This window comes from Homo sapiens, chromosome 4 (genome assembly GCF_000001405.40).
Source record: "Homo sapiens chromosome 4, GRCh38.p14 Primary Assembly".
In the NCBI taxonomy this organism is placed as follows: Eukaryota; Metazoa; Chordata; class Mammalia; order Primates; family Hominidae; genus Homo; species Homo sapiens.
In genome coordinates, this window is record NC_000004.12 from 106,277,978 (window position 1) to 106,301,580 (window position 23,603).

Here is a 23,603-nt window from a genome sequence, read left to right on the forward strand (position 1 = left end):
TTAAATTTAGCTACAATTAAATGTTAAAATAGTTAAAGTTAGTTTTAATTAAAATGTTAATTAGAAAATCTAGGTATATTGCATAATTATTTCAATTTTACTATTTGCATTTTTTCATAAAATAATAGCCAAGAAAAAGTAAATAAGGTAATATGAAGGCATTTTCAGATGACCAAAATCTGTGAGAATTTGTAAGTATCTGACTTGATCTAAAAAAGTACAAAACTAAATGAAGTTTTTCAGGCAGAAAGGACAGGATATCAAACTTGAATCAAAACAAAGAAATAAAGAGTTCATGGGCTGGGCGCGGCACCTCATGCCTGTAATCCTAGCATTTCGGGAGGCCGAGGCAGGTGGATTGCCTGAACTCAGGAGTTAGAGACCAGTCCAAGCAACATGGCGAAACCCCATCTCTACTAAAAATACAAAAAATTAGCCAGGCCTGGTGGTGCGTGCCTGTAATCCCAGCTATTCGGGAGGCTGAGGCACAAGAATTGCTTGAACCCAGGAGGCAGAGGTTGCAGTGAGCCCAGATCGTGCCACTGCACTCCATCCTGGGCAACAGAGTGAAACTCTGTCTCAAAAAAAAAAAAAAAAAAAAAAAAAAGAGTTCATGAAATGGCAAATACATAATTAAATGGAAAAGAATTTTTTCTTCATTTCTCAAAGTCTTTAAAGAAACTTTAATGCCAAAAATAGTACAGATACATGGTGAAATGTATAATATATGTAAAAGTAAATATAAAATGTATAACAAAACTACCCAAAAGATGAGAGGAGTAAATAGAAGTATGTCATTATAAGATTCCTATCTTATATGTGAATGGGTATAATCAACTCATAAAACACTATAAATTTTAAGGATGCATAATGTAAACTCTATTGCAATAACCCAAAAAATAAAATATAGCTAAGAAGAAAAGATAAAAGACAAAATAAAATGAAACAACAAAAAAAACCTCTGAGTCTCTTGTAGCCTAATTCCAAGTGCTTATTTAGTTGTAATCCTTCTACCCTCACACTTTATTATTTATTAACTCAGTAGTTTCTGCTCTTCAGATAATTCCCAACAGGAAATTAGACTAGTTAATTTAATGGATATAGACCTTTTCTATACCTTTTATGGATATAGACAATACCACAAAATAAAATTCAAAATGTTCCTTTGAAGTCAGGGCAACTCCTAATTACTAATCTCCTACCTGAGTCAATTTACTGAAGTTTCCTCGCTAACTGAAGGAACTGATTGAATACAGAAAATATAGTCAGTAAATGAACCTTGTAAAAATTCATCACTGAGGTTACACACAGATGATTTTTTAAAATTTTTTTAATTTTAATTTTTGTGCATATACAATAGATACAAATATTTATGTGGTACATGATATATTCTGATAAAGGCATACAATGTGTAATAATCATATCAGGATAAATGGGTTATCCATTACCTCAAGCATTTATCCTTTATTGGTATTAGAAACAATCCAATTATACTATTTCAGTAATTTTAAGATGTACAATAAATTATTGTTGACTATAGTCACAATGTTGTGCTATTAAATACCAGATCTTATTCATTCTAATTATGTTTTTGTACTGATTGACTACCCCTATTTCATCCCCACAGCCCCACTACCCTTTCCAGCCTCTGGTAACCATCCTCTCTATCTCCATGAGTTCCAATAAACAGGTGAGAACATGTAAAGTTTGTCTTTCTGTCCCTGGCTTATATCATTTAACAAAATGACCTTCAGTTTATTCTATGTGGTTGCAAATGACAGGCTCTAATTCTTTCTTATGGCTGAATAGTACTCCATTGTGTATATGTACCATATTTTCTTTACCCATTCATCTGTTAATGGACAGTTAGGTTGCTTCCAAATCTTGGCTATTGTGAACAGTGCTGCAACAAATATGGGAGTGAAGATACCTTTTTGATATACTGATTTCCTTTCTTTTGGGTATATACCTAGCAGTGGGACTGCTGGATCATATGATAGCCTTATTTTTAGTTTTGTTGAGGAACCTCCAAACTGTTCTCCATAGCAGTTATACGAATTTACATTCCACCAATAGCGTAAAAGGGTTTCCTTTTCTCCACACCCTTGCCAACATTTATTCTTGTCTGTCTTTTGGATTAAAGCCATTTTAACTGGAGTGAGATGATATCTTAGTGTAGTTTTGATTTGCATTTCTCTGATGATAAATGATGTTCAGCCCCTTTTCATAAGCCTGTGTGCCATGTGTATGTCTTCTTGTGAGAAGTGTCTACTCAAATCTTTTGCCCATTTTTATTGGAATATTAGATTTTTTCCTATAAAGTTATTTGAGCTCCTTATATAATCTAGTTATTAGCCCCTTGTCAGACAGTTTACAAATATTTATTCCCAATCTGTGAGTGTCTCTTCACTTTTTAAATTGTTTCCTTTGCTGTGCAGAAGCTTTTTAACTTGATGTGATGCCATTTGTCCAGTTCTGTTTTGGTTGCCTATGCTTGTGGGGTATTACACAGGAAATCTTTGCCCAGACTGATGTCCTAGTAGAGAGTTTTCATCAATGTCTCCTTGTAGTAGTTTCATAGCTTGAGGTCAGATTTAAGTCTTTAATCCATTTTGATTTGAATTTTTGTTTATGTTGAGAGACAGAGGTCTAGTTTCATTCTTCTGCATACAGAAATCCAGTTTCACAGCACCATTTACTGAAAAGACTTTCCTGTCCTCAATTTATGCTCTTGACGCCTTTGGTAAAAATGAATTCATTGTAAATGTAAGGATTTGTTTCTGGTTTCTATATTGTGTTCCATCAGCATATGTGTCTATTTTTATGCAAATACCAAGCTGTTTTCGTTGCTCTGTAGTATAATTTGAAGTCAGTAAATTTGAATCCTCCAGTTTCATTCTTTTTGCTCATGACAGCTGTTGCTATTCTGGATCTTTTGTGGTTCCATATAAGTTTTAGGATTGTTTTTTCTATTTCTGTAAAGAATGTCATTGGTATTTTGATAGAGAATGCATTGAATCTGTAGATTGCTTTGGGTAGTATGAACATTTTAACAATATTGATTAGTCCCATCCATAAACATGAAATATATTTCCATTTTTGTATCCTCTTTATTTCATCAGTGTTTTATAGTTTTCATTGTAGAGATCTTTCACTTCATGATTAATTCCTAGGTATTTTATTTTATTTGTAGCTATTATAAATGGAATTATTTTCTTGATTTCTTTTTCAGCTTGTTTGCTGTTGGCATATAGAAATGTTACTGATTTTTATCTTTTGATTTTGTATCATGCAACTTTACTGAATTCATTTATCACTTCTAATCATTTTTTTTTTTGGTGTAGTCTTTAGTTTTCTCCAAATATAAGATCATATTATCTGTTAACAAGGATAATTCAACTTTTTCCTTTCCAATTTGCATGCCCTTGATTTCTTTCTCTTATCTAATTGTTCTAGCTAGGACTTCTGGTACTATGTTGAATAACAGTAGTGAAAGTGGGTATCCTTGCCATGTTCCAGATCTTAGTAAAAAGGCTTTCAGTTTTTCCCCCTTCAGTATAATGCTATTAATAGCTGTGGGCCTGTCATACATGGCTTTTATTATGTTGCTTATATCCCTAGTTTGTTAAGGGTTTTTCACCATGAAGGGTTGTGGAATTTTATCAAAGGCTTTTTCAGCATGAATTGAAAGGATCATATGGTTTTTGTCCTTCATTCTGTTGATATTATGCATCATGTTAATTGATTTGCGTATGTTGAACCATCCTTGCATCCCTGGGATAAAGCTCACTTGATCATGACGAATGATCTTTCTAATGTATTGTTTGCTAGTATTCTGTGGGGGAGTTTTGCATCAATGATTTTCAGGGATATTGGCCTGTAGTTTTCTTTCTTTGATGTGTCTTTTTCTGGTTTGGGTATCAGGGTAATATTGGCCTCGTAGAATGAGCTTAGAAGAATTCCTTCCTCCTTTATTTTTCAGAACAGTTTGAGTACAATTGGCACTAACTTTTCTGGAAAAGTTTGGCGGAATTCAGCTATAAAGTCCTCTAGCCCAGGGCATTTCTTTGCTGGGAGACTTTTTATTACAGCTTCCATCTCATTACTGGTTATAGGTCTGTTCAGGTTTTGGATTTTTTTCATGGTTCAATCTTGGTAGGTTGCATGTGTCTAGCAATTTATCCATTTCTTCTAGATTTTCCAATTTATTGGCATAGAGTTGTTCATAGAAGTCTCTAATGATCCTTTGAGTTTCTATGGTTTCAGTTGTGATGTCTCCTTTCTCATCTCTGATTTTATTAGTTGAGTCTTCTCTTTTTTTTCTTAGTCTATCTAAAGGTTTGTAAATCTTCTTTATCTTTTTTAACAAAACAAACTTTTCATTTCACTAATATTTTCTATTATTTCATTTGTTTCAATTTCATTTATTTCTGCTGTGATCTTTATTATTTTTTTTCTTCTACTAATTTTGGGATTGGTTTGCTCTTGCTTTTCTAGTTTTTGAATAAGCATCATTATATTCTTTGATTTTTTTTAACTTTATTGATGTAGATGATTATAGCTGTTAACTTCCCTTTTAATACTGCTTTGGCTGTATTCCACAGGTTTTGGTATATTGTGTTTTCATTATCCATTCCATTATTGTTTCAAGAAATTTTTCAATTTCCTTCTTCATTTCTTTATTGACCCCCTTTATTAGTCTGTTCTCACATTGCTACAAATACCAAGACTGGGTAATTTATAAAGAAAATAAGTTAGATTGATTCACAATTCTGCATGGCTGGAAAGGCCTCAGGAAACATACAATCTTGGCAGAGGGAATCTCTTCACAGGGCAGCAGGAGACAGAAACACATGACAAGAAATGTAGATGGCCTCTAGGAGCTGACAGCAGCACTCAGTCACAGTAATCAAGAAAACAGATACCTCAGTCCTAAAATTAATTGCGAGGAACTAAATTCTGCCAACAACCTTTATCAGCTTAGAGAAGAATTCTTCCCCAGAGCCACAAGAAAAGAAATTGAGAGTTCATTTCCTCTAACCATATCATTTTATTTTTAAAAAACATTTCTAGGAATATCATAAAGAAATTCATATTTGCATCATACTTTCACCAAAATTCATTTGTTTGAGAAATAAAATTGTAGCACATGATTAAAAAAAAAGATAATAGGGAAATATTCAAACTCCATGACTAACCTAAAAGTATAATTCATTCATTCAATAGTCCATTTGCCACATATTTACTAAATGGAAACTTTTATACTTACAACTTTAGGAGACAATAAATAAATTACAGTATGTATGTCAAAAACGTTAACTAGAGAAGATAAACAATTCCTTCCTTAATTCTATAACTGTAGACTAACAATTATAAGCCTGAAGGGGGAAAGATATCTTACTACTAGAGGGTTACAGTATAATATAGGCATTTGGAGGAGGAAAATATAATTTTTGCTTTGGTTGAGAAGAAGAGTACGAAGGGAAACAGTAAGATGTATTACTTGAAGAAGTGCTGTACATTGCACTAAAGATTGGAGATAACAGGGTTGAGCAAAAAGACATTTCAGTTTTTATGGTAAATTTCAAAATTTTGGCATTCACTCTCCTCAATGTGTATTAGGAATAATTAAAACTAATTGTACAATTTAGGCACATTGGAAATAATAAGAGAGTTAGAGAGTAATATTTAGAGAAGCAGTAGTAGTAATTGGAGTTATTTAATGAGAGAATTAGATTGAAGTCAGATCCTATGCTAATAAGATGCCTTTTCCTCTGGGGGAAAAAAAAAAAGAAATGGAGAACCTCCAAGTGTTTCTGAACAGAGAATGGACTGATCTTCAAAAATATTAACATAGCAGAAAAAGTGGGAGGACTGAAGTATGGCTGAAGCCAGGAAGACCAGTTAGAACGTTACAATGCAATAGCCAAGCTGTTTGTTAGTGAAGATTTAAACTAAAGAATGTATAAGACAGAGATATGTGAGAACTATTGCCAAGTTTGTATTAACAACACTTGGCAATTAGTAAGATATAAGGTACAAGAGAGGCAGAAAGCAAAAGTTTGTTGCAAGATAACAAGTCTAAATGTAGAGCATCTTTCGGTATTATTTTCCTTCTTTAAACAAAACATGTAAAACAGGAAGAGAATTATAGATCAGTTATATAAATCTCTAATTCACATGACTTCACTACCATAATTTCAAATGCATTTTGAAACTACGGTCCTCAAAAGTAAAAAAGATATGAAAGCCTCAAGATCCATTATCAGTTTATATTATAAAATAAGAATATCTAACATCTATTTCTGATTACTACAACCTGTAGCTCATTATTCAACTCTGGACCACATTCCAGAATGTGTCCAAATTCTTTCGAGTATCTCATTCAGTGAGTAGGCAATGTTTTAACAGGGGAAAATAAAACTCACTAATTTGAGTAAGTCAGATCATGTTTTCCATCAGGCTAGTAAACAGCTGCAGACATAGTCTGCTTCCCATCAAAGTCTTCACGTATAACTTCTGCAATACTAATGGTATTCTGGTAAATTTTCAAAACCATAACCCTAAAAACGTGACAAACTACATTTTGTTAAAGGAATATGGCTCTACTGCCCACCCTGCATTCACCTGCAAACTTAACACAATGTAGAAACTCTATTACAAGTGCCAAAACTCTGCTGAATATCTGTCCATGAGCTACATTTGCTGATACTTTCATAGGTTAAGCAAAAGTACATGCTCTGAATAATTCTAACACAAAAGGGAAATACTTCCCATACAGCACCTAGACTTAAAAGAAAAACAATTTCCTCATGCCTGCTTTGATAGCAGTGATAAAGGTATATCTGTTTTTTAAATATTCTCTGGAAAGCATTTCAAAGAGGAGTTGAGATCTAAATTTCTCCACTTCTCAGTCTCTTGAATCTTGCTTTAGGGTAGCATTAGGTAGATTAATAGGCACTAAATGTGAGATGACTTCAAACAAATCTAAATGCTGTACTTTTTTCTTGAAACCTAATCACTATAGGAATTTAATTTGACAATTTTATATTTTCAAAAAATAATTTTGATCATTTAACTTAAACTGAAGAGAAATGCTGGCAAGATTGAACTATGGCACAGATAACATAAAAGCCACTGGAAAGACAGCAGCTGTCTCAAAATTAATTCCTTATATTAAAGCCTGAATGGACTGTAAAGAAAATGTTGAATATTTTTTTTCCTTTAAACCAGGTTAGCCAACTATCCACACAAATAACATTAGTCTATAAAATACTAACTTGATAACACCTCATAAAACAAACTTATGTTCTCCTTTTATAATATAAATTCTCAAAAGGGTTTTACGGCCGTTAATACTAAGAGAGAACGTTTGATTTTCTAGTGAGATCTGGAGCTTCACGATAGGCTTAAATTGTAATTATTCCCATAGTAGTAGCAAATTACTACTATGACATTTCAGTACAATATTGTTTCATTCAATATTAAATCGGTCATGAAAAAAAGTCAGCAAATTGACACAGACTCTTCTCTAAATTCCTAGTTTTCATTCCCCTGATCCCTGTCCCACCAAAGATTTAAAATTTAAAATTTAAATTTAAATTTCTTACCAAATATTTAAAATTTTCTTCAAAATATATATCAAGTAAGATATATGCTTTGAATGATGCTTATGTTTAGAAAATCAACTGCAAATTACGACCAGACAACTGGCAGCTTATGGTTTTGCAACAGTTATAGACAAAGGAACAAGTAAAAATCACAAATGTCAAGTTGCAACCCCATCTAAATAGGTTTCCTGTTTACATCAGCCCTTCTTGCAGGTGCAGGTGCTTACTTTTGGTAGTAAAGGAAAGAACTAATTTATAAACCTTAAGAACATCTTCTCACTTTCTATAAACAGGTTATAAAATTGATTAAAATTGCAGTACATCAACTCTACACATATACCTGCTCTGTTACTGGAGACTAATGTAATCCAAATATGTGGAAAAGTCAAATAGTTCTCAGCAAAATTAATTTAGATGGATGGATCAGATAACAACTTGGAACTGAACCTAAAAGGATCATTCCTACTAAAAGGCAGTAAGTACTGAATGTTATATTCCAAAATGTACAAAGAAAACACTGACTTTTAGTCTATTATCAGAATAATTTAAAAATAGTACTTTATTTACACAAATGCTTAAATACATCTCAATGGAAAAAATGGAAAGACCTGTTAAGGCTACTATATGTTCTATTTAAAAGAAAAAAGAAAATGTAACTGGCATAAAAGATCATGTAAATTTTGCATTTAATCCTACTCATGTTAATATACATCCTCAAAGAATGTGCTTCCATCTACACTATTTTATCCTCATGAAGACAAAAGCAAAATCATTGAAGAAACCACTGATGTTCATTGCCACAAGATTTGTCGTCTTTCAAACAAAGATAAAAAATGGTAAGCACAGAAATGCAAAACTTTTCATGAGCTAATGATTTAATCATACTGGCAAAGCAATATTGATTGTATCCTTATATAATACAATTCAAAGTTCAAAAACATTTTTAAAAAAGGTTGGGGGATGGTGGCTCATGCCTGTGCCTGTAATCCCAACACCTGGGAGGCTAAGGCAAGAAGATCACTCGGGCCTAGGAGTTCAACACCAGCCTAGGCAACATAATGAGACCCCTGTATATACAAAAAATAAAAAAATAGCCATGTATGGTGATGCACACCTGTGGTCCCAGGTACTAGGGTGGTTGAGGTGGAAGGATCGCTTGAGCCCAGGAGGTCAAGGCTACAGTAAGCAGCGATCACAGTAAGCGAGGTCAAGGCTACAGTAAGCAGCGATCACAGTAAGCAGTGATCGCACTACTGCACTCCAGCAGCCTGGGTGACAAAGCGAGAACCTGTCTCAAAAAAACAAAAAGGCAGGAGGGGTGGGGGTGGAATAGAGTTGAGGTAAAACAATGAAAACGGAAATTTATCTTTTGAATCACCAACTTCTTTCGCCTCAGTTCCTTTACCAAGTAAAAGAAGGACCATATACAGGCAGAGGGGGAAATGTGGAGATAAGAGACTACCATACTGATGACCAGAGGACTGCTCTCTTTGTGGCTTATGGGGTCCTCTGGAACTTCGGGGTGTTCTGGAACTTTTGGGAGCACAAGACCATGGATAACATCAATTTTCAGGATGTATAGCAATTCTGATCATAGCTATGTCCATAAAGACCCTATTTCACCTGTGGGACTTCTGGATATTCCCTTAATACTCTACCCCCTATTCTTAGTGTATAATCCTTTCTTTTTTCTACCCCAAATACTTTAAACAAATATGAATAATTTTAAGAATTCCAGATATTTTTCAGTTAGCATTAATATTGATTTAGCATGTCACTCCTGTTTTGTAGGAGTGTTTTTTCAAAAGTATTTGTATGGTCTCTAAGACATTTGTGGTAGTCAGCCTCCAGGATGGCCCCCAATGAGCCATGACTCATGAAATTCACATGTGCATTCTTGAGCAATCCTCTCCAACACAGAATACAGTTAATGGCTGACCTGTGTAAACTAACAGGATATTGCATTGCAGGAATAACAGTGTGTGTTTGTTGACACTAGGTTACCAAAGCCACTGTAGCTTCCACCTTGTTTTCTTTCCTTAGATTGTTCACTCTGAGAGAAGCCAACCACCATGCTTTGAGCATGTCAAGAGGCCTGTGGAAAGGCCCTCAATGTAGAAAAGAATTAAGCCTCTTGTCAACAACTAGCACCTTCTTTATAAGTAAACCATCTTAGAAACAGATCACCCAACTCCAGAAAAGCTTTTATAACAGATGACTGGAGGTCCAGCTGTTATCTTGACTGAAATCTTGTGAGACCTTGAGCTAGAACCATCTAGTTATGCTATTCCTATGTTCTGATCCAAAGGAATTATATGAGTTAATAAATTTTTATTGTTGTTTTAAGCCACAAAGTGTTGAGGTAACTTGTTAAGCAATAACTAATTCATACTCTTTCTTCTAAAAACCAAAAAATTAAAAAAGTCAGTGGCTCAAACATCTTCATTAACAACACAATACTGTTTCTCTATGAGGGATTGAGAACTCAAGCCAAGTGAATAACTCAACAACCCTTTCTTAAAAAAAAAAAAAAAAAAAATTAAGGTATGCAATCCCAGAACTCTGGGAGGCCGAGGCAGGCAGACTGCCTGAGCTCAGGAGTTCGCGACCAGCCTGGGCAACACGGTGCAACCCTGTCTGTACTAAAATACAAAAAATTAGCCAGGCATGGCGGTGTATGCCTGTAGTCCCAGCTACTCAGGAGGCTGAGACAGGAGAATCACTTGAACCTGGGAGGTGAAGCTTGCAGTGAGCTGAGATCGTACCACCGCACTCCAGCCGGGGCGACAAAGCGAGACTCCGTCTCAAAAAAAAAAATTAAATTAAGGTATAATTTACATAGGTAAAATGCATATATTATACATTTTCAGTGCATATTTCATTTAGTTATGACACACATACACCATATAGGTAATATCTGATCAAGATACAAAAATGTTCATCCCCTTAAAAAGTTCCCTCAAGGCCATTTTGAATCAGTTCTTGAATTACCCCTTACTCTCTAACAGAATAAAGCACTGTTTTTCTATCACCGAAGATAAATACCGATAATCTTCTATGTCTGGCTTCTTTTGCTCAGCGTAATATTTATAAGGTTAATCCACATGTTGTGGGTACCAGTAGCTCTTTCTTTTTCATTGTTGATTAACAGGTTGAGCATCCCTAATCTGAAAATCTGCAATCCAAAATGTTCCAAAATCCAAAATTTTTTGGGCAACAATATGATACCACAAGTAGAAAATTCCACACATAAGTATTTAGTGTAAACTTTGCTTCATGCACAAAATTATTTAAAGTATTACATAAAATTACACCCAGGCTATGTGTATAAGCTATCATTCAAACATAAATGAAGTTCGTGTTTACACTTAAGTCCCATCTACAACATAGCTCACTATGTAAATGCAAATACTCCAAAATCTGGGAAAAACAAATCCCAAATCCGAAACACTTCTGGTCCCAAACATTATGGATAAAGAATTATCAATCTGTACCATGTTTATGCATTCTCCTGTCCATGGACATTTGAGTTCTACCCAGTTTAGAGCTATAATGAAGAATGTTTCTGGGAATATTCTAGTGCAAATCTTTTTGCATAGGTGGACATGTATTTTTCTGTTCTCTTGGATAAATACCTAGACAGAGCTGGGACTAGAGTGAGGCAAATGAAGTACTACAGTACAAAATTTAAGGAGGCCTTATAACTAGGACTGGAATTGCTGGATCATAAAATAGATGTTTCTATTAATAATTTAGCCTTTTTTATAGCATTGAAATTTTAAATGTAGACTTGCCATAGGTTCTTCTGTCAAGAAATCTACCATTTAAACAAAGAGCAATAGTAGGTTAACATATTAGTCTATAAAAATATAACAAATTATATTTATGAAGACAATTGATCAGCCAGGCGCGGTGGCTCATGCCTGTAATCCCAGCACTTTGAGAGGCTGAGGCGGGCAGATCATGAGGTCAGGAGTTCGAGACCAGCCTGGCCAATATGGTGAAACCCCATCTCTACTAAAAATACAAAAATTACCCAGGCATGGTGGGCATGCCTGTAGTCCCAGCTGCTCAGGAGGCTGAGACAGAAGAATCACTTGAACCCGGGAGGCAGAGGTTGCAGTGAGCCGAGATCATGCCACTGCACTCCAGCCTGGGTGACAGAGCGAGACTCTGTCTCAAAAAAAAAAAAGAAAAAAAAAAAGACGATTGATGTATTATCAGATATGATGCATATTAAATAAAACATTAAGTTAAGAATAACTTGTGCTACAATGATCTCTCAATCAGTAAAACTCCTTGTTTTACAGATAAGGAAAATGATTAAGAGACTTGTCCAAGGATGCCTAACTAGTTAGGGCATATTGCATCACACATATTGCATTGTAAATGCATATTTTCATCATACATATTGCATTGTAAATCTTTACACAAATTTAACCCAGGCTCAACTAAAATATTTTTTCTTACCTAAAGTTGTGGGCATAATTGGTTTTCAATTTTAATGTCAACTAGCTTTTAAAGAAAATTGCTTTTTAGCAGCAGGAGACTGTAAATTTGAACTAGTGAGCAAGGAATAATATATTATTTTATTTATTTATTTATTTAGAGATGGAGTTTCACTCTGTTGCCCAGGCTGGAGTGCAGTGGCGTGATCTCGGCTCACTGCAATCTCCGCCTCCCGGGTTCACGCCATTCTCCTGCCTCAGCCTCCTGGGTAGCTGGGACTACAGGCGCCTGCCACCACGCCTGGTTAATTTTTTGTATTTTTAGTAGAGACAGGGTTTCACCATGTTAGCCAGATGGTCTCGATCTCCTGACCTCGTGATCCGCCCACCTTGGCCTCCCAAAGTGCTGGGATTACAGGCATGAGCCACCACACCCGGCCGGAATAATATATTCTTTTAAATAAAAATCAAAGATTAGTGACATTACAAAAATTATAACTATAAAAACACATTTACTAAATAAGGTTAAACTATTTCTAAATACATATAAAAGTTATTTTTCTTACCTATAGTCAGATTAGACTTTTCTAAGGAAGGATGTAAGGCTATAGTGTACAACAGGGGTTCCCAACCCCCCCACCATGGACTAGTCCTGGACCCTGTACCTAGGACTGCGCAGCAAGAGGTGTGCAGCAGGCAAGCCAGCAAAGCTCCATCTGTATTTACAGTTGCTCCCCATCGCTACATTACCACCTGAGCTCTCTGCCTCCTGTCAGATCAGCAGCAGCACTGATTCTCATAGGAGCACGAACCCTACTGTGAACCATGCATGCGAGTGATCAGGGTTGCGGGCTCCTTATAAGAATCTAACGCCTGATCATCTGAGGTGGAGCTGAGGCAGTGATGCTAGCGCTGGGGAGTGGCTGCATATACAGATTAACATTAATAGAGAGGTTTGACTGCACAGAGACCATAATAAATCAATTACTTGCAGACTCATCAAAACCCTATCAGTGAGAGGCAAGTGACAATTAAGCTGTATCTGGTGGTAGGCTTTTGAGTGGCAAGTGAGTTGATGTACTTCAAGTGTACAGCTGCATCTGGTGGCAGGCTTTAAGTCAAAATGCAACATTTATTTTAGTCTGCACGTGGCCTGCCTATTATTTTATTTACCTCTTCCATCTGCACCTCCTTCCCACACTGCACACTTGTCTTGGTCACAGTTTTGATAAGCCTACAAGCTAACCCCTAGTCACAATGAGTAAAAACCAAACATCACTGGAGACCTTCTTTAAAAAGGGGGAAAGACCCCATGATGAGACAGCAGAAGACTCTAAGACTGCCAACAAAAAGAAAGCTTCATTTAAAAGAAAATACCAACAGTCCTACTTAAATTATAGGTTCATTGTAACAGATGATTCACATTCTCCAAGTATGCTTTGTATGCTATGTGGCGACCAGCTATCCAATGAAGCCATAAAACCTTCAAAACTGCTTTGTCACATGGAGACCAAGCAGACTGATTAAAAGACAAGTCTTCGCAGTTTTTCAAAAGAAAAAAACATGAACACGAAGAACTGAAGTAATTACTGAAAGCCACCACTTCATCAAACGTGTTGACACTAAGAGCATCATTCTTAGCGACTAACTACATAGCTAAAGCTAAGAAGCCCTTTACTATCGGTGAAGATTTGATCCTGCCTGCTGCTAAAGACATCTGTCATGAAATTTTAGGAGAGGATGCCGATCAAAAGGTAGCACGTGTTCCTCTTTCGACTAGCACCATAACTAGACAAACTGATGAAATAACAGAGGATATTGAGGCACAATTGCTAGAATCAATGAGTCACCATGGTACACAATTCAGACTGATGAGTTGACCGATGTTGACAACAATGCAACAATGCTTGCTTTTGTGCAATATATTTTTCAGGAGGATATGCATGAGGATATTTATGTGCACTTTTGTTGCTAATAAACACCAAAGCTGCAGAACTATTCAAGTCTTTGAATGATTAAATATCAGAGAAACTGAATTGGTCACTTTACATCGGTATATGCAGACACAGCGGCCACCATGACTGGACGGCTTTCTGGTTTCACTTCTCAGGTCAAAAAGGTTGCTTCTAAATGTGAGTCTATGCACTGTGCCATCCATACAGAAATGCCGGCTACCTGAAAAATGTCACCTGAACTTAACAACGTTTTGCAGGATATGATTAAAATTATCAACCTCATTAAAGTATATGCCCTTGGCTGGGCGCGGTGGCTGACACTTGTAATCCCAGCACTTTGGGAGGCTGAGGTGCGTGGATCATGAGGTCAGGAGATCGAGATCATCCTGGCTAACACGGTGAAACCCTGTCTCTATTAAAAATAAAAAAATTAGCAAGGCATGGTGGTGGGCGCCTGTAGTCCCAGCTACTCAAAAGGCTGAGGCAGGAGAATGGCATGAACCCGGGAGGAGGAGCTTGCAGTGAGCCAAGATCACGCCACTGCACTCCAGCCTGGGCGACAGAGCAAGACTCCATCTCAAAAAAAAAAAAAAAAGTACATGCCCTTAACTCATATCTGTTCATGCAGCTCTGTGAGGAGATGGACACAGAGCATACACGTCTTCTCTTAAACACAGAAGTAGGTGGCTTTCTAAAGGTGGATCACTGGCCAGAGTTTTGAGTTATGAGAGCTGTTCCAGAGATTTCTTTTAGAAAAATAGTCACCACTGGCAGCACATTTCAGTGACACAGAATAGGTCACAAAGCTTGCTTCCTTATGTGACATATTCAACCTGCTCAACAAACTCAATCTGTCACTTCAGGAGAGAACAACTCTGTTCAAGTTCGCAGATAAAGTGGCTGCATTCAAAGCCAAACTGGAATTATGGGGGTGGCAAGTGAACACTGGGATTTCTGACATGTTTCAAACATTAGCAGAGATTTTGAAAGAGGCTGAGCCAGGGCCTTCTTTCTCCCAACTGGTGCAGATCACCTATCTCAGCTTTCAAAAGAGTTTAAGCATTACTTCCCAACCACAAAGGACCCCTGAATGGGAAGGAATAGATCCGCAACCCATTTGTGAATAAACCAGGTGAATTGACTTCATCTGTGCTAGAAGAGGATCAACTAGACAATATCAAATCTCCATACATTCTAGATTAAAGTCAAGACAGAATATCCCAAGATTGGCACAAAATCACTCCTTTTCAGCCTGCTTCCATTTCCAACATCCTATCTTTGTGAAGCAGGGTTTTCTGCAGTGACAGCAACCAAAACGAGATTACAGAGCAGAATGAACATAAGCAACAGACTTTGGGTGTCACTGTCTCCCATCATCCCCACATAGAACCTTCTAGTTGCAGGAAAGCAAGCTCAGGGATCCCACTGACTCTACATTATGGTGAGTTATATAATTACTTCATTATATATTACAATATAATAAAAATAGAAATAAAGTACACAGTAAATGTAATGCGCTTGTATCATCCCAAAATCATCCCTCCACCCTCCATCCATGGAAAACCTGTCTTCCACAAAACTAGTCCCTGGTGCCAAAAAGTTTGGGGACTGCTGGTATATACATGATATCTGCATTTTTCATTCTAGAGGCTACCCAAAACCAAATCATTTAAAGGAGCAATAATAGCACTTTTATTCAATTTATTTGTTTTGCTTCTATCAAATTACTACCATTTATTAAGATAAATGCTTTTCTTCCCTTGAAAAAGATTTTTCATCTAGAATATTGTGGTAATGGAAAATTATTAACCAGTCAGAGTAACAATATTTTTCAAAACTAGGATGGATAATTATAAATCTATAAACACTCGTGGCAAGATGTTTTATTGGTTTAATACAACTTGATTTATACATTAAGAAAGATTTTTGATAATTTTAAGGTCACTTCGGGAAATCTGTGAAGAAGTTCATTTAATAGTATATTTCTAATAAAAGTTTAGACCACATACTTTCCTTGCCAAGAGAGTAAATTTATTGAGTCTTTGAAATAATTGCATTTAAACTGTATCATTAAATTCTATCCAAGCTATGATTAATATTTCTCCCTACTCTTTAATGTGACCTTTATTTAACACAGTTCACTGTGTCCCTAGGAATACAAGTATCCTATTTGAAGTTACAATGTGATCCTTTCAGGAAAATAATCTTTTTTTTTTTTGAGATGGAGTCGCGCTCTTTTGCCCAGGCTGGAGTGCAGTGGCGCATCGCGGCTCACCACAACCTCCGCCCCGCGGGTTCAAGCAATTCTCCTGCCTCAGCATCCTGGGTAGCTGGGATTACAGGCACGCACCACCATGCCCACTGTGGTGGCTCAAGCCTGTAATCCCACCACTTTGGGAGGGTGAGGCGGGTGGATCACAAGGCCAGGAGTTTGAGACCAGCCTGGCCAACATAGTGAAGCCCCACTCTTATACTAAAAATACAGGAAAATAATCTTTTTTTTTTTTTTGACATGGAGTCTCGCTCTGTCACCCAGGCAGGAGTGCGGTGGTGCAATCTCGGCTCACCGTAAGCTCCGCCTCCTGGGTTCACGCCATTCTCCTTTCTCAGCCTCCTGAGTAGCTGGGACTACAGGTGCCCACCACCACGTCCAGCTAATTTTTTGTATTTTTAGTAGAGACAGGGTTTCACCGTGTTAGCCAGGATGGTCTCGATCTCCTGACCTTGTGATCCGCCCGCCTCGGCCTCCCAAAGTGCTGGCATTACAGGCGTGAGCCACCACGCCTGGCCAGGAAAATAATCTTAATCTCAGCTAGTGAAATGCTTAGTACTAAGAAGGTTTCAAATTTTCATATATCCCCTTTTGAAGAATTTTTTGTGAAATATTTCAGAGAATGCCTACCTCACAAAAGATGAACACTGGACTATGTTAATGTTGAATTCATATGTAATCTGTAAATTAAATTTTCTCAAGTGAAAATTTGCACCTACCTTTATCATTAAACAAGTAACAAAAGAAACCAAACCCCTGCAGTTTAAACAAAATGCCTTTTTGTTTGCCAAGTTCTGCTTTTCATTTAATTGTTCTGATACTATACAGTACCTCACAGGTTTCCTTTCTCGAAGCAAGTCTTCCAGACTACGTTCACAATGTTCAGCCACGACCACTAGTCGTTCTGAGAAAAACAAAGCAAACCCATGTTATATTTTATCAATACAACATGTTAAAAACAAAATAATACTCTCCACTGATGATATTAATATATAACACCCATAACAATATTTTAAAAGAGCCTTTCAAACTCTATATTAACTACATTATTACCAAGTATATAGGATAATAAACATCTAATAAAACAATAACTATTTTTTTCTCTTGTATTTTTCTTCCTCTAGAGTTTTTCTTACATACGTCAGGAAAAATAGGTGGAAAGACTGTCCTTGGGGAAAAAAATAACTCACCCTTCTTCTGACACACATTGAAAGAAAGAAGTAAAAGATTAGATGAATATATAAAGAATTTTGAAAGAAGGGAAAAGGAGCTAGGTACAGATTGCTTGACACTCTGGTTTTAAACACAGACCTTTGAAATTGCATTCAGAAACTTGAAAAAAAGTAGAAATGATCTGAATCATAACTATAGAGAAAGAAATTCAACCTAGAATTATTGTTAACCCTTGAACAACGCAGGGGGTTCTTAAAGGTGCCAACCCCCTAAATGGTCAAAAATCACCTATAACTTTTGACTGTCCCAAAACTTAACTACTAATTTGCCTACTCTTGACTTGAAGCCTTATTGACAACACATAAACAGAACAGTATCTACATTTATTTTATGGATTCATGACATACCTTTTTTTCTTATTTTTTCCTATATTTCTAGGCTACATGGTTCATCTATGAGTTTTTTCAAATTGTCAAAAATCTCCAAAGAATTTTCCAATATAAATTCATTGGGAAAAAAATGCATATTTAAGTGGATGTGTGCAGTCCAAACCCATGTTGTTCAAGGGTCAACTGAACAACAGTTGAGATTAAATATTATAAAACAGTGGTAGACATGATCAACATTAATGATGTCATTTTTATTTTCCAACAGATCAACTGATCAAGATGGCACAGTTCTAAGGGCCAGCCTATACTTTTTTTTGCCTCATCCATTATTCCAAGTCACTAACATGATGCTTGATAATGAATCTAAGAGGAATAAAAGAAAAGTACAACTGGCTTTACAAGCTTTTGGGGATTTGACAAGGTTATTTGAGGAGTTTGGTTCAAAAGAAGTTGGAGTGTTGTCAGTATCTATGCAAAACAGATTCTAAGTAAAATAAAGAATAAGTTTAACACAAAACACAAAGACTGAGACTAGATAAGGTAAAGGTGCAAAGAAACTGCGAATAATGATAACTGTAAAATGAAGGTTTGGTGAAAATGAAAAAGTAGCCAAGGTAGAAAAAAGAGACAGAAGAAGATAGGAAAGAGGAAGTTCAGAGTAAGAAATCTAGTATATAAAATAGTTCAGTAATGATTGGATTAAGGCATGGTCTTGAATGGGGAAGTAGAGATGGACAATTGTGTTCAGGCAGACATGTCAAGTGCAGGAGCAAAGTATTATCTTGGATCTTATCTAAGTTTACTCTGTCTAGTGAAATGGGATTATACAGAATGATCTGAAACACAAAAATTAAAAATGCTATAAGTGAATATTATCATTTTCAGATAAAAGATTCCAATTGTAGAGGAAAAGGAATAAAATGAAATAGCAAATGATGAAGCTAGAGAGAGAGGTGAGCAGGAATATTTAACAGGAATTTAAAGAAAATTAACTTTAAAAGAACACTTAATGAGAAAAAAAGAAAAAGAAAAGGAAACCATGCAATAAAAGGTCAAGTTACTTACTTAACAAAGAAAAGCGTATGCAAAGGTAAGCTCCAAGCAATTTAGTACAACAGTGAAATTCCAGAAGAAAAAAGCAGGCAACATTATCAGAAAACCAAAAGAAGAAGCTGCATTCCTTTGCTTTTCATCTTACCACGTTTTGTCCATTTTCCTTACATTTATCTGGCTCCCTCCCCTCAGTATCCTCTGTAAATCTTTACCTCTTCTACCCAAATTGAAATGCTACCAGTTCCTCCACCTTTGATTCTGGGTCTTTTTTACTGTTTTCTCATCTATTCCCAAGGCTGAAAAACTCTGAGATTTTATTGCAAGCCCAAAACTCTCTTCTGAACTGCAGGCTTCTATAGCCTATATTATAGGCTTTAATATAAAAGTCACCTGAAACTCAACCAAACTTCAACTTATAATTTACTGTTAAAGTCTGTCCCCTTTAATACTGTTTCAGTAAATGATATCACTATCCAGTCAACTGCTCTAGCTAGCAACTAAACAGTAATCTCCCCTTCTCAAATCCAAATAAACAGAGTCCTGTTATTTTTACTTCTCAAACATTTCTAGAATCTATATAGTTTGCTCCATCTGCCACAATCTGGGCCCAGCCAGCATCATCTCATTAGATAACTACAACAATCTTTTAACTGATCTTCTCACATTAATTCCTATTTCTTTCCAACATATTTTCACACTAAAGCCCAACTGATAAAATCATAAGAAGTCTGAATATGAAACTCCCTCTCTAGCTTCATCTATATTATTTTATCTTAGTTTACCAACTTCCATCACACTGATCTTCCTTCTGGCCTCCTGCCTTAGGACACTTACACATGGGTTCTTATTGCCTGAAATGATCTTTCCCACATAGTGGTTAAGAGTATAGACTATTTTGTCTGGGATCCAAATCCCAGTTTTGCTACTAATTAACTATGTGACCTCAGGGAAATTTTCTAACCTCTCTATGCCAGATTTTTTCTGTAAGATGAAGAGAAGAATAGCCACCTGCCTCACAGGGTTGTTGTGAGGTTGAAATGAGTTAATATATAATAAAGGCCTAGAATAGTGTGTGGCACATAACAAGCAATAGCTGATTGTTAGCTTTTATTATTACTCATTATTCAGGGCTCAGTTAAATGTGACTTCCTCAAGGGACACTTCTCTCATCCCCCCAACATCGATTTGCTGTCCTACAACATACTCTATTCTACATTTTAATTTTGTTTTGTAGCACTTGTTTCAACTCTAATAATTTGTATGCATTCTTATTTTGGTCCAGCCAGCATCATCAGTAACTCCACCTTATCCATGGTTTTACTTTCTGCAGTTTCCAAACATTTTAAATGGAATATTCTAGAAATAAAAAATTCCTAAGTTTTAAATTGCATGCCATTCTGAGTAGCACAGTGAAATCTCTCACCAGCAATTAATATATGCCAAAAAGAAGACGTGGCCGGGCACGGTAGCTCACGCCTGTAATCCCAGCACTTTGGGAGGCAGGCGGATCACGAGGTCAGGAGACCACCCTGGCTAACACAGTGAAACCTTGTCTCTACTAAAAATATGAAAAAAAAAAAAAAATTAGCCAGGCGTGGTGGCAGGTGCCTGTAGTCCCAGCTACTCGATGGCTGAGGCAGGAGAATGGCATGAACCCGGGAGGCAGAGCTTGTAGTGAGCCGAGATCCTGCCACTGCACTCCAGCCTGGGCAACAGAGCAAGACTGTCTCAAAAACAACAACAAAAAAAAGAAGACGAAAAGTGCTTCCTTCAAGTGAAAAGGTGAAAGTTCTCGACTTGATAAGGAAAGAAAAAAAACCAGTTGTTAAGATACATGGTAAGAAATTTTCTATTCGTGAAATTGTGAAGAAAAAAGAAAATCATACCAGTTTTGCTCTCACGCCTCAAACTACAAAATTATGACCACATTGCAAGAGAAGTGTCTAGTTAAGATGGAAAAGGCATTAAATTTGTGAGTAGAAGACATAAACAGAAGAAACACGTTCTGACTGATAAGAATCAGATTCGGTACAATCCTCAGTTTTAGACATCCACTGGGGGTGCTGGGGGCCTTCTTGGAACATATCCCCTGAGGAAAAGGGGGGCCTACTGTGATATCTTTTTTCCTATCAGATAATATATTTTATGATGGCAGGAATGAGGTGGGTCTCATCACAGGTGCCTAGCAGTGCATCAGTAGTTGCACACAGGTGCATCACAGTAGTACATCACAGGAGCCTAGTGCACACAGGTGTACTGCATCACAGGTGTCTAGAATGTCACCTACAACATATAGGCATGTAATATAAAGATAACTGTTAGATGAATTAACTTTAGCAAAGGCATGATGTGGCCATTAGAAATGAAGAATCTCATATGACCACAGTCACTGAACAGAGCCCTGTCCTGTGTAGAAAATTACATGCCCACGTTATAAACTCAGTATAACTCAGTAGCACTGACTTTCATGTAAAACAAAAACAAAATAATTTATTAAAATGTGCATATTCCATTAATTAACCATTTTAAATTGGATATTCATAATTCTTCATATCTATAAGAGATTTCCAAAGTATCTGGCACAACTAAAATTTTTCAGGTTTCTGGAAACCCCTTCAAAACATCATAAACAAGTGTTTGCCAAAGCTTCAAGATTCTATGGAACTATTAAGCATAGTTTTAATACTGCTGAGCCATAATCCTCAGCAGAACATCAAAGTTTCTCCCAGAGATAATGGAGTGTATACCAAAACAATATTTCCAATATGAACCATTTTTTTAAAGAAATCTTTAGAGAGTCTTCATTCTGAAATCTCTGGACCACTGTTTAAAAATAACATGTTATAAAAACAATATAGTTTCACAGAATAAAGCATTTAGGAATCATAATGTGCCAAATATAAATCATCAATGTAGTAGCATTATTTATAAAAAATAATGTGATGCTAAGATGAACTTTAAAGAGTAGAATATACAATAATTGTGAAATAGTCTTACTTCTAACAAAGATTTGAGGAAGCAAAAGTATGATGTAGCGTCTCTAGCCTGAACTGTGTGTTTTAGGTTTGACAGGGCTTGGCTGTGTTCCCACCCAAATCTCATCTTGAATTCTCACGTGTTGTGGGAGGGACCCAGTGGGAGGTAATTGAATCACAGGGGAGGTCTTTCCCATGCTGTTCTTGTGATAATTAATAAGTCTCATGAGATCTGATGGTTCTATAAGGGGGAGTTTCCTTGCACAAGTTCTCTTTTTTTGGCCTGCTGCTATCCATGTAAGACGTGACTTGCTCCTCCTTGCCTTCCACCATGAATGTGAGGCCCCACCAGCCACGTGGAACTGTAAGTCCATTAAACGTTTTTCCTGTACAAATTACCTAGTTTTGGGTATGTCTTTATCAGCAGTGTGAAAACAGGCTAATACAAAGTTAACACTAAGAAACTGAAGAGAACACACATTTAAGCAAGAATAAAGGAGTTGAATAAGGAGTAGGGGGAAGTAAAATAAAGTTTTTTAAAGTAGTGGTTTTTTTGTTTAAATTTAGAGAAAGAGGTGAATCATGAATGTCTTAAAATAATATAAAGGGTTATTACAATATATTTACTGCATCACTTTTGTTATTAACAGTAAAAATCGAGACTAGCTCATCACCTTTAAAATATGATATTTCAATAAGTGTTTATACAGTTCAAAACCAACAAAGAAAAACATTATGCTTAAAGAATAGTATTGGTACCAGAACACTGTGATGGTCAGTTTTATGAGTCAGCTTAGCTAGAATATAGAATCCAGTCATTCAATCAAATACTAATCTAGATGTTGCTGTGAAATTATTTTGTAAATGAGTAAAGTCTATAATCAGTTTACTTTAAGGGAAATTATCCTAGATAATCAGGGTAATCCTGATTCAATCAGTTTAATAGCCTTTAAGAGCAGAATTGAAAGCCAAGTACACTGGCTCACACCTATAATCCCAGCTACATGAGAGGCTGAGACGGGAGGATCACTTTAAGCCAGGAGTTCAAGACCAGCTTGGGCAATATAGTGAGACTCCTGTCTCTGAAAAATAAATAAATAAATAATAAATAAATATGAGCAGAATTGAAGCTTCCATGAAGAACAATAAATTCCAACTGTGGATGACAGCTTGAGCTTCTGCCCAAGAGTTCAGCTTGTCCTTCTTGAAGACCTGCCTCATGGATTTCAAACTTGCCTAGCAGCACCCCACAATCATGCAAACCAATTCCCAGCAATTCTTTTTTATATATTCATATAACTTACATAAATAACTTATATAATTATATATATAATTTGTTCTGTTTCTCTTATGAAACTAATACAGATTAAAATTTATATGCTAGAGATACAGAATAAATTATCTTGTAGTTCCATATAATTCTATTATTCTCTACTTTAATTTCAAATAAAATAATTTTTATTCTTGATTTCACCAGCAATCATTGAAAGATTTCTGGATAATCAATACCAAATAAAAAAGGATGCACTACCATTTACCATCTTCACTCTGCTTCTAAACACAGCTGAGATTTCAAGCTCACAAGAAAAGATAAAATTTGTTAACATAGTATTTTCAGGCTTTACTGGCTTTTTTTCTCCTAAAGATATTTTTCTCCTATTAGAAAAAAAATTCTGAAACTCTAATAAAATGTTTGCCATTCCTGAGATTAAAAACTTCATCCTGCTG

General features: G+C 36.1%; 1 protein-coding gene and 1 long non-coding RNA gene across 25 annotated transcripts in view; one reads left to right on the plus strand and one right to left on the minus strand.

The window, feature by feature from the left end:
- The window catches only part of TBCK (TBC1 domain containing kinase), a 275,085-nt gene that overhangs the window by 236,379 nt on the left and 15,103 nt on the right, over positions 1 to 23,603 (minus strand). For all 22 annotated transcript variants that reach the window (XR_001741353.3, XR_007057984.1, XR_007057982.1 and 19 more), the window contains exon 3: positions 17,117 to 17,189. Coding sequence is in view for 14 of the 22 variants with exons in the window: in NM_001163436.4 (NP_001156908.2) it covers positions 17,117 to 17,189 (73 nt within the window). In the remaining 8 variants the exon portion in view is untranslated. The remainder of the gene's footprint in view (positions 1 to 17,116; positions 17,190 to 23,603) is intronic.
- LOC124900750 (uncharacterized) lies at positions 1,628 to 19,569 on the plus strand. Of its 3 annotated transcripts, none has more exons than XR_007058217.1 (3): positions 1,628 to 1,690; positions 7,904 to 8,085; positions 18,113 to 19,569. It is a non-coding gene; the product is annotated as an uncharacterized LOC124900750 (long non-coding RNA). The 3 variants fall into 3 exon arrangements; XR_007058218.1 differs by lacking the exon at positions 1,628 to 1,690 and adding an exon at positions 8,331 to 8,446 and having other exon boundaries at positions 7,993 to 8,085; positions 18,113 to 18,170; XR_007058219.1 differs by lacking the exon at positions 1,628 to 1,690 and adding an exon at positions 8,368 to 8,446 and having other exon boundaries at positions 8,001 to 8,085; positions 18,113 to 18,170.